Source organism: Homo sapiens, chromosome 2 (genome assembly GCF_000001405.40).
Source record: "Homo sapiens chromosome 2, GRCh38.p14 Primary Assembly".
Lineage (NCBI taxonomy): Eukaryota > Metazoa > Chordata > Mammalia > Primates > Hominidae > Homo > Homo sapiens.
This window is the reverse complement of record NC_000002.12, coordinates 43,802,761-43,818,776: the sequence shown is the minus strand read 5'-3', so window position 1 is coordinate 43,818,776 and position 16,016 is coordinate 43,802,761. Positions and strand designations below refer to the sequence as shown.

The 16,016-nt window shown below is 38.4% G+C and overlaps 2 protein-coding genes across 15 annotated transcripts in view; one reads left to right on the top strand and one right to left on the bottom strand.

Moving 5' to 3' along the window:
• The window catches only part of ABCG5 (ATP binding cassette subfamily G member 5), a 33,021-nt gene extending 20,455 nt beyond the window's left edge, over positions 1–12,566 (top strand). For 7 of the 11 annotated variants that reach the window (XM_047445409.1, XM_011533026.3, XM_011533024.3 and 4 more), the window contains 2 exons: positions 4,188–4,300; positions 5,468–6,305. In XM_047445409.1, coding sequence (XP_047301365.1) covers positions 4,188–4,300; positions 5,468–5,661 — 307 coding nt within the window. In that variant the 3' untranslated portion in view covers positions 5,662–6,305. Of the gene's footprint in view, positions 1–4,187; positions 4,301–5,467; positions 6,306–12,365 lie in introns of those variants that run through there. The other 4 variants (XM_006712073.4, XM_047445410.1, XM_005264480.5 and 1 more) reach the window with 2 other exon arrangements.
• DYNC2LI1 (dynein cytoplasmic 2 light intermediate chain 1) overlaps positions 1–16,016 on the bottom strand; it is a 54,309-nt gene that overhangs the window by 9,571 nt on the left and 28,722 nt on the right. For 2 of the 4 annotated variants that reach the window (NM_001348913.2, NM_001348912.2), the window contains exons 11-13: positions 14,038–14,135; positions 13,531–13,623; positions 8,253–8,396 (exon numbers count right to left, since the gene is read on the bottom strand). In NM_001348913.2, the coding sequence (NP_001335842.1) occupies positions 8,268–8,396; positions 13,531–13,623; positions 14,038–14,135 (320 nt within the window). In that variant the 3' untranslated portion in view covers positions 8,253–8,267. Of the gene's footprint in view, positions 1–8,252; positions 8,397–8,766; positions 9,073–13,530; positions 13,624–14,037; positions 14,136–16,016 lie in introns of those variants that run through there. The other 2 variants (NM_001193464.2, NM_016008.4) reach the window with 1 other exon arrangement.

Genomic DNA, 16,016 nt, shown 5'->3' with positions numbered 1-16,016 from the left:
TGAGATATTATAAAGCAAAGTGAATTAGGCTTTGATAAATCAAGGAGGATATTTTTTCACACGAAGACCATGATATTGTATTTGTCCGTGTTGCTTAAGTGGATTGTTAATATTTATGAAAAATGCAGAAATCAAATCACACCAAGAGTACAGAATCAAGCCAGCAATGTACAGAGCCAACCTTGGGCAGCATTTCCTCTTTTATATTATTTGAATCATTGTTTCAGTTAATCTGGTGCCATTTCATGTACAGATGATCCCCGACTTATGATTTTTTGAGAAAGTGATACTCGTTCTGTAGAAACCGTATTTTGTTTTTGTTTTTGTTTTTTTGAAACACAGTTTCACTCTGCCGCCCAGGCTGAAGTGCAATGGCGCGATCTCAGCTCACTGCAACCTCTGCCTCCTGGGTTCAAGTGATTCTTGTGCCTCAGTCTCCTGAATAGCTGGGATTACAGGTGTGCGCCACCATGCTCGGCTAATTTTTGTATTTTTAGTAGAGATGGGGTTTCGCCATGTTGGCCAGGCTAGTCTCGACCTCAAGTGATTCGCCCACCTCGGCCTCCCAAAGTGCTAGGATTACAGGTGTGAGCCACCGCAGCCAACCTAGAAACTGTATTTTGAGTAGCCATACAATCATCCTGTTTTTTACTTTCAGAACAGGATTCAATAAATTACATTAAATATTCAACAAATTACATTAAATATTCAACAATTTATTATAAAATAGGCTTTGTGTTAGATGATTTTTCCCAACTGTAGGTTAACGTTAAGCTTTCTGAGCACATTTAAGGTAGACCAGGCTAAGCTGTAATGTTTGGTGGGCTAGGTGTCTTACATGTGTTTTTTTGTTTGTTTGTTTGTTTTGAGAGGGAATCGCGCTCTGTCACCCAGGCTGGAATGCAGTGGCGCGATCTCGGCTCACTGTAACCTCCGCCTCCCATGTTCAAGCGATTTTCCTGCCTCAGCCTCCCGAGTAGCTGGGATTACAGGTGCCTGCCATTACACCTGGCTAATTTTTGTATTTTTAGTAGAGACGTGGTTTCACCATTTTGGCCAGGTTGGTCTCAAACTCCTGACCTCAGGTGATCTGCCTGCCTTGGCCTCCCAAAGTGCTGGGATTATAGACGTGAGCCACCGCGTCTGGCCTTAAATGCATTTTTAACTTAGAATATTTTCAACTTATGATGGGTTTATCTGGAAGTAACCCCATCATAAGAAGCATTTGTATTAGGGTTTTAGGAAAAGGAGGTTAGTTGCTCTTTATTTTTATTTTTGTTTGTTTCTTGACGCAGAGTCTCACTCACTCTGTCACCCAGGCTGGAATGCAATGGCACGATCTCGGCTCACTGCAACCTCCGTCTCTCAGGTTCAAGCAATTCTCCTGCCTTAGCCTCCTGAATAGCTGGGATTACAGGTGCGCACCACCACGCCCAGCTAATTTTTGTATTTTTGGTAGAGATGAGGTTTCACCAAGTTGGTCAGGCTGGTCTCAAACTCCTGACTTCAAGTGATTTCCCTGCCTCGGCCTCCCAAGGTGCTGGGATTACAGGCGTGAGCCACTATACCTGGTGGTTAATTGCTCTTAAAAGGTAGGCAGTTGCAAAGAATACTAAATGTTCTCAGATTAGTTGCAAAATCTTAACAACCCAAGGCTTCATATGAATTCCACTTCCATCGCTGAAAATTAAAACTCCACTCTTAAAGGCCACATCAACCTGCTAGTCATTCCATTTACCCATTTTTCTCCCCAGTCATCATCTTTCTGGGTGAACTGCCTAAGGCATTTGTGCTGTTGGCTCCCTTCTCTTTTAAACACAAAGGAAATTAGCTTTGCTGTGTTTTCTGCTTACAAAATCATGCAAGTTCTTGGGGGAAGAAGTGCTCACAATATAAATGTGGATGTGGAAGAAAGTAAAAGTTACCTGAAGTATCAGAGCCTAGAGTTAAATTTTGTTGTAGTTCTTGCTAGAATTTTATATAATTTTTAACAAAGATGAAATCATCCTGTTGTATAAGATATAAAATATGCATACTTTTTTTCCCATTTAACAACATAATATGAATTAGGTGGGTGTGGTGTCACGTGCCTGTAATTTCAGCTACTCAGGAGGCTGAGGCAGGAGAATCACCTGAACCTGGGAGGCGGAGGCTGCAGTGAGCCAAAATCATGCCACTGCACTCCAGCCTAGGTGACAGAACAAGACTCCGTTCAAAAAATAAAAAAGACAAAGCACAAACCAACCTAATGTGGACAATGTCATGTCAATACATCCAGATCTATGGTTCCTCCCGCTGCTTCTCCTTCTGTCTGTGCCTTTCACTGATCCATTTCTCTCTCTCCGCCACCTGCACAAAGTCTGTTGGTTGTTCCCAAGGCTAGAGGCGCACTCTCTTTGAAGGCCCCTTTTGTTTTCTCTCTCAGCCTATCACACACTACTTCCTGTCACGGTCTTCCTTTGCTGTAATAGATTATCCACCCCTTGAAGGCAGCAGCTGTGTCTCATTCATCATTTTAGACCCTCTCAGCAGCCAGCCCAATTAGGCCTTGGACCAATTAGGCCTGCAAACATTATTTGTTGAGTGAATAAGTAAATGACTCTGTCTTTGAACTGTATACACACTGCATCACTCACCAAATCATGTTGGTTTTCTTTTCTGATATCAAACCATAGGTGCATGTGGAACATTTTGTGTTTGACTCTGTGTGGTACAGGGAGAAACAAAGGTTCACAGTTCCTACCTCAGAAAGATAGCACCCTAGCCACTAGGCAGCCACCATCTCATGGCCATCATCCTACTCCAGGCCTTTGTCATCTCATAGTTGAACTTTTTTTGTAGTCTGGTCCTTTTTTTTTTTTTTTTTCTTTTCCTGTTCTTACTCTGCCCTCATTCTAGCCATCCTTCTTGCTGGAGTCACGTTAATTTTCTCAGAATGCTGATTTCAACGTGACCTGTCTCATTCATGGTCATTCAACCTCAACTCACAGCAAGGCCCTGAAATGGCTGTTGCTGGCTATTGTTCCGAGCTCCCCTCCCACTGTTCCTTCACATCCTCTCTTCCAGTGTTTCTGGTCCAGTCAGTCCCATATGCAGCCCTTGGCATACCTGTACTCATACCATTTCTGCCTTCCTAGAATTTCCATCCTCTTCCCCTAATTCCTTCCCAGAGTCCCACGTATCCTTTTCAATTAGCAACCTCTCAATGTGGTTAATTCAATGTTGTGCCTTAGGAAACTGAAAGGTTGAGGACACCTTGCAAATAGGTGAAACCATAAATACTAAATACAAGAACATCATGGATGTGTGGTACACATTTTTTTATACTTTCTTGGCACAAATAGTTCACTACTGTATATTTTTATAGTTTTAAGGATATATTCTATATCTCCAACTACATTATGAGTTCTTTAGGGATAGGATACATCTTTTGAAGTTCTCAAGCTCCTAGAACTAGTGCCTTGCAAACAGAAAGAATTTTATACCTTTTGATTGACAGAAAATATACAGTGGACTAAGAAGACCACAGTGTCAGCACACAGTTTCACCTGAAATAGATTGGAGAGGAGACATATTTCATTTTCACAATGAATGTTGGTTCGGTCTCTCCTTCCTTTTTCCTTTGTATTCTAGGTTAGTTCTAACTTTCTACGTTGGTACCTTCAACTTTCTGTTTAATCACAAATCTCCTCCTCCAATTGGTATGTGTTAGGTCTGTATTTTCTTGTACGTTTATATCAGTAGTGCTTACCAAAATAAGTAGACAGTAATCGTCTACTTGAGAGAACTGTTAAATTAAGGTCTTCACTATAACAGGCCACCAAGCTGTGCCTAAAAATGACAAAGTGCTATGCTTACTGACTTGGAAGGATGTCTGAGACATATGTTTGGCAGAAAAAGAGTAAGTTAGGAAAGAGCATGAAGAGTTTAATTCCATTTATATAAAACTTTTAAACACACATGTTATATATATTACCAAAATGTTAACAATAGTTATTTCTAGGCAACGGTATTTCTTTATATTGTTCAATGTTGTTTGAAGGTTTTTTTATAGTGAGCATCATTTTTATAATAAGGAGATAGAAAACTATATTCCTGTTGGAAAATATAAGGATTGCCTTTCTTTTCATTTGGTAGGACTATTGCCAGAGCCTACTGAATTTCATTTTTGTTTTCTTTTTCTTAAGAAACATACAAGAAATGCCCATTCCTTTTAAAATCATCAGTTATTTTACATTCCAAAAATATTGCAGTGAGATTCTTGTAGTCAATGAGTTCTACGGACTGAATTTCACTTGTGGTAAGTATTCTATTTGGGGATATTATTTTTGCATGTTACTCTGAGGAAGCAATTTCTTGGAGGAAATGTATTTTTGAAATAAAAACTGTGTTTTATAATAATTCAATTTAAAACTCTGTTTTGAAATACAGTCCAACATTTTCTCTGATTTTTAAGATGAAAGAAAATAAGCAGTAGTCAAGTTAGTCTCCTGTCAAAGGTCAACAGGTAAGGGACACTTGGATGTTGTTAGAAAATGACAGACCTTATGTACACTGAGGTAAACTCCAGAATATTCTGGATAGACTCAGTTCCTGTATCTACTGAACACATTCAAGCAGGCTGAAGTGGCTTCTTGTTCCCCAAAATGTACATCGTACATAGCTAAATAAAGCTACTTTTGGCAAAAGTCTATTCCTCAATCCCACCAGATGGAAGTAGAACCAAGACAAGGACCTCATGGCCATTAGAAATCTCAGGGTGGCCGGGCACAGTGGCTCACGCCTGTAATCCCAGCACTTTGGGAGTCGGAGGTTGGATCACTTGAGGTCAAGAGTTCGAGACCAGCCTGGCCGACGTGGCAAAAACCTGTCTCTACTAAAAATACAAAAATTAGCCAGGCGTGGTGGTGCGTGCCTGTAAATCCCAGCTACACAGGAGGCTGAAGCATGAGAATCACTTGAATCTGGGAGGCTGAGGTTGCAGTGAGCCCAGATCGAGCCACTGCACTCCAGCCTGGGCGGCAGAGTGAAACTGTGTCTCAAAAAAAAAAAAAAAAAAAAAAAAAACGAAAAAAAAAACCCCAAAAAAAACAAAAAAAAAACAACCAAAAAAATCTCAGGGCCACTCCAAAGACAACCAAAGAATATGGCTGAATTTAGTAGTGTTTTAAATAATTTTAAGTGATAATGTCAGTAACTTTAGGATAGTCTGTGCTAAGGGATCATGATTTTTATCACAAATATGGTAATGAATCTATACCCAAAATAGAAACAAAAGCATGTCCATCTTCAAATGAAGCCAAAGGCCAGAACTGCTCACTCTTGCTTCATCAAATTGTAAACTCTGGGCTTGCTAAAGTGTCCTGTATTTTTCATTAAGGGTACTTAGCAAGCGCTTGGTAAATACTTGTTGATTAAATTACCTGAGATAAACCACACCTGACACTGTCAATCTTTTCCTTGACAGGCAGCTCAAATGTTTCTGTGACAACTAATCCAATGTGTGCCTTCACTCAAGGAATTCAATTCATTGAGAAAACCTGCCCAGGTGCAACATCTAGATTCACAATGAACTTTCTGATTTTGTATTCATTTATTCCAGCTCTTGTCATCCTAGGAATAGTTGTTTTCAAAATAAGGGATCATCTCATTAGCAGGTAGTGAAAGCCATGGCTGGGAAAATGGAAGTGAAGCTGCCGACTGTGCATGACTGCTCTGAACGTCTGAAATGAGAGTGCCATGTATTTCTTTCTTGACAGGACATCTCAAGTCTTTTAACCATTAAGACTCCATTTGTGCCTCTTGGATCCAAGCAGGCCTTGAATGCAATGGAAGTGGTTTATAGTCCCTTGCTCTTACAACTTGCAGGGACATGTGGTTATTTGGAAATTGTGACTGAGCGGACCCAAGAATGTAAATAATATTCATAAACCTATGGGAGACTCGTGTGACTATTTTTTTTCCTTGTTCTAGGCACAGAAAAAAATAGGTCAGCTTAAAAATATGTTTACATTGGATAAAGGATTAGGCAAAAATAAAATGTTTCAAGGATTCCTGACCATAAGTGACAGAGAAAGAGAGTTGTGGGTTTAGATGAAGCAAGGTTATCATGCAGAATTGGGTAAGAATGCTTCTGTTCCTGGAAGACCCAGAGTTAAATGCAGATGTCCACACGAGGGGTCGGAGTTACCTGATCACATCGAGAGAGTGCTGGGCAGATGGATGGTGAGCACCACTGCTACAGAGCACCCAGTGATTTTACTGAGGATTAAAATAAAAAACCGTAGGAATGGGCTCAACAGTGAACAAAGCACACCAGACAAACCTCTGGTTATGTTTTTAAAGATTCGTTTGCTATTTTTCACTTTCAGCTGAGTTTACTTATAGGCACATTGTGCACATGTACCCTAAAACTTAAAGTATAAAAAAAAAAAAACCTACCGAAAAAAAAAAAAAAGAATTACAAGTAAACTTTACTAAAGTATATGCACTGAGAAATAACCCCATTAAGGCTGGAGATCAGCTGTTATTTAAAGTCCATATAGAAAAAAATGCTGACATAGCTAGACATGGTGTCTCACATCTGTAATCCCAGCTGCTCAGGAGGCTGATGTGGAAGGATCGCTTAAACCTAGGAGGCAGGGGCTGCAGTGAGCTATGATGGAACCACTGCACTCCAGCCTGGGCAACAGAGACAGAGCAAGACCCTGTCTCTAAAAAAGAAAGAAAAAAAGTGCTGACATATTGTTTACAAAGAACAGGGTACATACTAGAAATTCACATTCTTGAACTGTAAAGGGTGCTGATATGTATAAATACAGACACCTGTATTACATATTTTCAAGGATAAAATAATGTAAATAGGTTATTAAAAATGGGTTCTGGCCAGGCGCGGTGGCTCATGCCTGTAATCCCAGCACTTTGGGAGGCCGAGGCGGGTGGATCACGAGGTCAAGAGATTGAGACCATCCTGGCCAACATGGTGAAACCCCGTCTCTACTAAAAAATACAAAAATTAGCTGGGCATGGTGGCAGGCGCCTGTAGTCCCAGCTACTTGGGAGGCTGAGGCAGGAGAATCGCTTGAACCTGGGAGGTGGAGGTTGCAGTGAGCCGAGAATGCACCACTGCACTCCAGCCTGGCGACAGAGCAAGACTCTGTCTCAAAAAAAAAAAAAGGTTCTGTATTAAAATTACTGATTCTCTTTCTGATTGATCTTCAAGTAATTCCATGTACAAACCTGAAATGAAACTGTCTCAGTGTTACTATGGTAACTTTGGGTGAGAATATGGTAGAGAGCGCATGAACTTGTTCACTGACTGTGACCTAACTTGTGAAGAAAGATAAATTATAGCATTTGAAATGTCTCACACTGAAATAGGAAAGATCATTTCATTAAGGAAACCACAGTAAAATTCTATTTCTTAGAACAGTATTTAAGGATGTGGAGGCATTGGTAAATTATCAGACTAGTATTGTCAATTTTTATAAAAGGTCTTTGACATGGATGATTATGGTGTAATAGTTACACAATGTCTTACAGATTATATATGTCACATCAGTTATAGACAATTCTGGAGATGATAATCTATTAAAGTAGTTCAAAGAGAGTCCCACAGGAACCTCTTTTGAAATCACTGATTTCAACTTACTAAAGATATGGGTGTACAACATAAGTGGAAACATTTTCTACTATTCATATGCAGATGAATTTCATTCTAGCTCAGAAACATTTGGAAAACTGACATCACACGTGACTTCAAGCTATTAAATGTTAGTGATAGCACCTTAGAAAAACACAATGGCTTTCAACATGTGACAGTTTGTGTCTCAAGTCAAAAATGGACAGTGATGTGTAAGAAAATCAAATTACATAATAACAATTCCTATTACTCTTGTGGAATAGGCTGTTTCTTCCCACCAAGTCAGTGATGTTTCTGAGATCATAATGTTCACTGTAAATTTAAAGGGATTTCTTTTTCCATAGCACTCAGCAAGAAACGTGTGCTAAAGACTGAGGTTCCTTGGAAACATGCTGAAAATTCTGTTCTCAAGGGTGTCAGAACCATACGTACTGCAAATAATTTATGAAGTCCTAGTTCATTGCAATAAGCAGATGGCTTGCTATCTGCTCAGACAGTACTCCCTTGGGGTAGTAAATGTGCTTATCTGAAGCTGGGAGTCAATATATTTTGTATGTGGACATGGAAGAACATAGAATAAATCATTTTTAATCATAGCAATTATACTTACTCAAAATGAACTTGGCTAGCAGGTACACACATCTACAGATTGGAATGGCTTCTTAAAGGCTATCCCACCTTGGAAATAATCCTGGTTATCCGCAACACATGATGTTTTGTCCTGCTTCTTGATAGGATATCTCCTTAGATGTGCCTGTTCTTCAAAAAGTGGTATTTAAAATAAATGTGTCAGTCTCACAGCAGGGTGAAATTGGTGCTGATTAAAAATGCCCCATTCCAGACCACTGATGGCGACACTCTAGGTGTGGGGACCTGGGAATGTGCATCTCCTATTTCAGGTGCTTCTTGCGCCTCACTGTTAAGAGTAAAATTTTGACATCTGTGAACCCAATTCCGGTTTCCTCCCAGCTACAGCTGAGAATGCCTTTTAGAAAGAATGTGTCTAACGTGGGCACTTAACCTTGCATTTAAAACTGTAACCAAATACTCTTACTTTTATATTCCTAAAAACATATAAGCAGAAACTTATACATGCTGAATTGAGTATATACCACTTAAACATGTTAGAGGTAGGTAGTAGAAGATTCTTTTATTTTAAAAAAAATTACACGTGGTTCTACAATAATTTTTCCTTTTAAAAAGCTTCAAGATATACAGGGAGATGCACTAGTCCAAGAAATCCAGCTTGTCCTTTAACAAATTATACAGTTTAACTTTCTTCACATATTGCCACAATAGTTAATTCACAGTATAATCTTATTTGTATTTGGAAAAGAAGAAATAAATATACAATAATTGAAATAGGTTCAAGAATCAAGCTCGATTTGTTTCCAAGACTTGGAAGAACTTCTTTTGTACTGTTCCAGTTCCTAAAACAAAAATATGTATCACTTTAAGAAAAATCAACTTTACTAATTCAAGGAGGCACCTTAAAACTGCCTTCTCATTTTTTAGATATATCAATGAATCCTTAGTAGCATTATCATTCTAAATATTTCTTGCCAATTATTTTGTAAATGATTATGCTTAGGACTTATTTTCTAGAAATACTGTCTTCAGAGTTTCTGTGTGGCTAAGCAGCACTCAGAGATGAATTTATTAAACTTTCAGACAAAATTATGTACATAAACTACATAATACATATGAATTGTCTTTCAACTAATGAACTAGACATCTGTCATCCTTCAAGTATTCAAAAGTGATCTTATTTTAATTGTTTGCTGTTCAGCTCTAATCAAAAACTTGGTTGAAGTTAGCAAAATATTTAAAAAATACATACCCAGGCTGGGTGCGGTGGCTCATTCCTATAGTCCCAGCACTTTGGGAGGCTGGGGCAGGAGAATTGCTTGAGCCCAGGAATTTGAGACCAGCCTGGGCAACATAGGGAGACCGTGTCTCTACAAAAACTGAGAAAAATAATTATCCAGGCATGGTGGTGTGCGCTGTGGTCCCAGCTACTTGGGAGTCTGAGGTGGGAGGATCGCTTGAACCTGGGAGGCCAAGGCTGCAGTAAACTGTGATTGCGCCACTGCACTCCAGCCTGGGTGACAGAGTGAGATCCTGTCACAAAAAAGTGTGTGTGTGTGTGTGTGTGTGTGTGTGTGTGTGTATCCTTTGTCCCAGTGATTTTACTTTTAGAAATTTATCATCCATAACAATAGAGCAATGCACAAGGATGTAAAAGAAGGAAACCCATTGCTCTGTCTCAGCACAACTGGAAACAACTTTGATGTCCCCCAGTAAGGACTGATTAAATAATTAGCGTTCATTCACAGGTGGCTTCCAAGGCAGCCAGCAAAAATAACAGTGGCCACATGAAAACATAATGTGTGCCACATGAAAAAAGCACACAGATAGGGAGAGGGCAGGATACTTCCATTTTCTATTTTATATACATCTATCTATAGCTCTTGAATTTTTTCACAAGGAGTATATCTTACCTTTACAATTCATAAATAAATTTTAGTGGAGGTGGCTATCCTGCACAAGGCAACTGACATGTAAAAGGGACCATCTAAGGGGATGCCTCTTGGCCTCCTACATGTTGTTCAATGTCTAAATAACTGTACAAAGGTTGTCACTACTTCAAATAAAACGTGGTTACTCTGCAAGATGAGGCAATCAATGCCCTTTGGCTAACATAACTGAAGTTCACAGTTGCTATGAAAAGAAAATCCATTCTAATTTTCAGAAAAATTGCAGAGCGTACCTTTCATACCTATACCCTAAGTTACTAAAATTTAAATGTTAAATGTTTCAAAATGGTATATAGACTTAGGAAGAATTTTTCCTTGTGTGTTTTTTTTTTTCCTTTAACTTCCTCATTGGATTCTAGGAAGAATTTTCATGGTAATAATCATATGTAGTCTTTACAGCTTGTTTTATTTTTTTCTAATAAAGCTAATTCAGTTCACCAGTTATCTACCACTTGCGGTTTTAAAGATTAACTCATAAAGAATAAACAAATTGTTTACTGCAAACTTTGTCTTTAACTGGAAGTTAAATTATTTTTACCAATGACAAAGGTGAAAATGTTGTTTTGAGATTCTTTGCTGGTAGTATCTCCCTTTTGCAGACAGCAGACTGTGAGAAAACTAGGGCTATCACACAGGCCATGCCAGAGGGAGAAAAAGGAATAACCAATATGAGACAAAAACCACCAAGTCCACTAGATCTTCAACATGACAATGATACGGCCTCAAAATAATGCATTGATGTTTTAAAGGGATAGCAAGTAAAGTTTTCCGAAGATAACTGTGGTTGGCCAAGAAGACCTTAAAAATAAATGTTAACTGTAACCTTTTTTTTTTTTTTTTTTTTTTTTTTTTTTGCTTTAACAAAAATAATAGAAAAGAAGCTGGGCACAGTGGCTCATGCCTGTAATCCCAGCACTTTGGGAGGCCAACTCAGGAGGATTGCTTTAGGCGAGGAGTTGAAGACCAGCCTGGGCAACAAAAAACAAAAAAATTACCCGGGCATGGTGATGTGTGCCTGTAGTCCCAGCTACTTGAGAGGCTGAGATGGGAGGATCCCTTGAGCCCTGGAGTTCAAGGTTGCAGTGAGCCATGATCTCCCCATTGCACTCCAGCCTGGATGCCAGAGCAAGACACAGTATCAAAGAAAAAGAAAAAAACACAAAAGAGGTAGAAGGGCTCAGCAAGTGCTTTCCACATTCGCATTCCCTTAAAATCGGGAATGCTCTAAAGCTAGAGGACTTTTAAAAAACAGAAAATACTACTTAAGTATTTTCTGGTGCCCATGTGAAGTCTGGCAAAAGACAGAACTTTAAATAATTAAAGAGGGCTAATCACGAAAGACCCTAAGTCTGCAGGAAAGATGAAAGGGGTCTTCCTACCAATCCTCAGATCCTTGAGGACTGACTTCACAGCACACAATTGGAAACAACTTAAGGTCTCACAACTACTCATGAAATAGTATGAAATAATATTCAAATTAAAAATTTTATATAGTAGAATGTCAAAATTTAGATTCGGATTATCAATGAAATAACAGCAACAACACTGGTAATTGTTAGGGTATCTTTACAGCTAAAGCATAAAATTATGTTAAGGTCCTGTGTGTGCAATCTGGAATCAATTCGTCTAAAACCACACAAATAAAAGTGGTTTAGAGGCAAACTTAGGACAGCATAACTTTTCAGGTAGGTTAAAAAAAAATCTCGAACCAAGAGATGACAGGAATTGGTGATCTGCTGGCAGTGAGATACAAGAGATGAATGAAGGGTGATATGGGTACTGTGGGGCTGCCTTCCTTTTCCACACAAAATTCTTATGGTTTTAAGTCATTTAGAGAAGACAGATTTGAATGTGAAAACTCATGATGCTCACAAATACCCTAATCCTTTAATAATACTGATGTATATGAACTTAATAAAAGTGATCATTATACAATATAAACAGATATTCTTATCAACAACAACAGTTAATCATTGACTCCTAGATAAATATTAATCAGGGATGACTTCCAACTAATCCTTATAGCCAGGCTGCAAACATAATAAGGGTTACATAAGGTCATTTTCCTGTTTCTACAACATGCCTCTCACTTTGCTACAGCTATAAAACCTCTAAATATTCATGGCATATTTTTCAAAAGTCTTCTGGACCGTTTACATAAAATGTTTTGCTTACTTCTCCAACAGCCCCCGAAGGTGAATACTGAGAAAAAAACCCTGGCTCCTACTCCCAGCTGACAGCTGTTTTCAGGTTACCCTCGCAACAACGTGACTGCCACCTGAGAAGTTGCTGGGGCTTTCGATCTAGTGCTTAGCATATATAAGTTTACTCATATAAGGACAGATTCTGTACAACGTCTCATTTTATCAAATAAAACTAAAATCTAAGTTTGCTTGTTTGTTTTTAGAAAAATCTAGGCCAGGCGCACTGGCTCATGCCTGTAATCCCAGCACTTTGGGAGGCCAAGGCGGATGGATCACGAGGTCAGGAGTTCAAGACCAGCCTGGCCAAGATGGTGAAACCCCGTTTCTACTAAAAAAGCAAAAAAAATTAGCCAGGTGTGGTGGCAGGCACCTGTAATCCCAGCCACTCAGGAGGCTGAAGCAGAGAATTGCTTGAACCCGGGAGGCGGAGGTTGTAGTGAGCCGAGGTCATGCCACTGCACTCCAGCCTGGGCGACAGTGTGAGACTCGTCTTAAAAAAAAAAGAAAAAGAAAAAGAAAAGAAAAATCTAAGTATTTGAGTGATGGTGAATTTGCCAACTCTTAACATTCTTACATCAGACTTGTGTGTTCAAATGGGGCTATCTAGTGATACATGGGATGGTGGTGTCCACTTTTAAGCATTTTCCTGAGAGAACCTGGGTTATGTCAGGTATGTCTGTGTGCTTTCAGATCGTGCTTTCAGTCCTTAACTGGGCAAGATACGTTTTCTAGTACAAGGAAAGTATAGGTATGTCTGAATGTCCTAATCAAAAACAAAGCTCTTCATGTAATTCCACAAACCAAAGACTATTAAGAAAATGTCTCTCCAGCAGCAAGGTAAGAATCACCACTCATCTTTAATATAATGAAAACTGGAAAATCAAAAAGGTTTATGTGAACACTAAGTCATGTCTGGGTGGTGGGATGACAGGTGATTTAAAAATTTTTCTTTATTCATATCAAATTTTTATTTTTTCTACAGTATACTATTAGTGTGTTATTTAAATAGATGTACTACTTAAATAATTTTAATAGTAAAGAAGATACTCTAAGTAAATACATAGAGAAAAATGTAAGGAATTCCCAAGGCACCCCAGGTTTTGTGTTAAAATTTCAGATGAAATTAAGTAAATGTTTAGGATAATACCAGATCCTTCTGAATTCTCATCTCATCGACTTCATTTTCAGCATACTGAGGATCTCTCGCAGGGTCCTTGATATCTTTCAGCGTGTTAATACTCTGAAATTACAAATCTCAAAATCACTTCACGCCCATAAACCAAAATTCAATGGCTACCATCTGCCTAATAAACCAAGCTCCCATTCCTCAGCCTGCCACAAAGGCTCTCTATGATCTTTCTAGCTTTTCTCATCACCACTGAGGCCCACTTCCAATTCTGCCAGGTCCCCTTTCAGTTGTCTCTCCCTTCTCTAACAGCCAGATAACTCTCTTTGAAAGTGGAGCAGGAACCATGTCTTACCTTTTTTTTTTTTTAACCCCCACAGTGCCTATTTACATTTTCAGCAAATGTTTAATTGATTTTTGAGCATAAAAGATGAAAACAAAGTTATCATAATAAGCCCTTTGACACATTTCCTATAACTGTTAGACAGTGCTAAAAGTCTTGCTTTTAAAAAAATTAGAAATATGTACCTTTGGTGGAAAGAGCTTTTCATACACTTTTTTCCACAACTCCATAGGTGAGTGGGCATGAAGCTTTCCAATGTCATTTTCAGGAACAGGAGGAGATCCTAAAATAGCAAGTTTTACCACAAATGACTGCAATGATTAAAATATTACAAACTCCACCAATAAAAGAAATGACACTAACAAAGGTATACATCTCGGATCACTCATTTTCCCTCTCCTTAATATAGTCACCATAAAAATTTACCCTACCCAGCATAGCAAGGTCACTGGGACAGATTCTAGTACTGAAAGAAGAGGAGGCAAAGAGTAATGGGTAAACTGTAACTCTCATTCTCCACACCCTATACCTATACCTGTATCTATATCCTATTAACCAGTAATTCCAGTTTTTGGTAGTGTTTGCCCTAGAAACACCTGCAAACTGGTACTGTATTAAGGATTTCACACTGCAGTATAATTTGTTATCAGTGAAAAATTGACCTACAACCAAAATATTCATCAGTGGTGAACAGTGCATTAATTACTATGCATAGCCATGCTCTGTAACACTATCCAACAGTTAAAATAAGAAATAGACCCACATACAGCATTAATATGGAAAAACTACTAAGGTATATTGGTATATTGAATTAAAAGGTACTGAATAATAGGGTATATTGAATAAAAAGGGGAAATTCCAAAATGATATAGACTGAACACATAATTACATTAAAGCAAATAGTTTTTTTACACTATATACACATGTGTGTAAAGGCATAGGAAATTGGAAAGAACACAAATTTGCTCCTTGTATGTACTCTTTTACCTTTTTACAAGGAGATATCTTTATGTGTTACTTGTATAATTTAATTTGAAAAATTTAAAACTTTGCTGCCATTTGCAATTTGTAACTGGATATTTCCCATCTTTCTATTTCCAACAACTGTATTGTTCCCCAAAACTGTTTTACTGGTGATCTTCCAGGACATCCTTACCACTTTGGTGCGAAAGCCATTGATACGCTCCACTGATGTTATTCAGCTTTGCCAAGTTTTACTTGTATTCCTTTGTGTGTCTGTGTGTATATTAAGTTCTATACAATTTTATCACCTGCATAGGTTCATGTATTTGCTACCACAGTCGAGACACCAACTTAATTCCACTAGCACAAAGATCCTGTGTTGCCGTTTTATAGACATAACCTCCTCCTTCCCGACCCCTCCCCTGGTCTCCCCATCCATAGTTCTATCCCTGCCCTCTGACCACCACTAATCTGCCTCCATTTCTAAAATGTTTTTCATTTCAAAATTTTTTATAAATAGAATCACACTGTATGTAATCTTTTCTAATTGGCTGCTTTTCACTCAGCATGATTCCCTGGAGATTCATCCAGTCTGTGTGTATCAATTATTTGTTCCTTTGTATGACTGAGTAGTGTTTCCTGGTACAGATGTACCACAGTTGTTTAGTCACTCACCTGCTGAACAACTTCTGGGCTGTTTCTAGGTTTTGACTACTAAACATAAAGCTGCCATGAACATATGCCTAGAGATTTTTTGTGTGAGAGTTAAGTTTTCATTTATCTTGGATAAATGCCCAACAGCACAATTTCTAGGTCATATGGTAGTTGCATGTTTAGTTTCGTAAGAAACTGTTAAACTGTTTTCTAGAGTGGCTGTACCATTTTACACTCCCACCACCAATGTATGAGAGATCTGGTTTCTCTGCATCCTTGCCAGTATTTGGTGGTGTCACTATTTTTTATTTTAGCTATCCTGTTAAATGTATAGTGATATTTCATTGTGGTTTCAATTTGCATTTCCCTAACAACTAATGATATTAAACACCTTTTCATGTGCTGCTTTGCTATGTTTATGTCCTCTCTGAAATGAAATGTCTGCTTATGTCTTTTGCCCACTTTCTAATTGGATTATTTATTTTTCTGTTGAGTTTATATATTCTAAACACTAGTCCTTTGTCATATATGTGGTTTGAAATTCTTT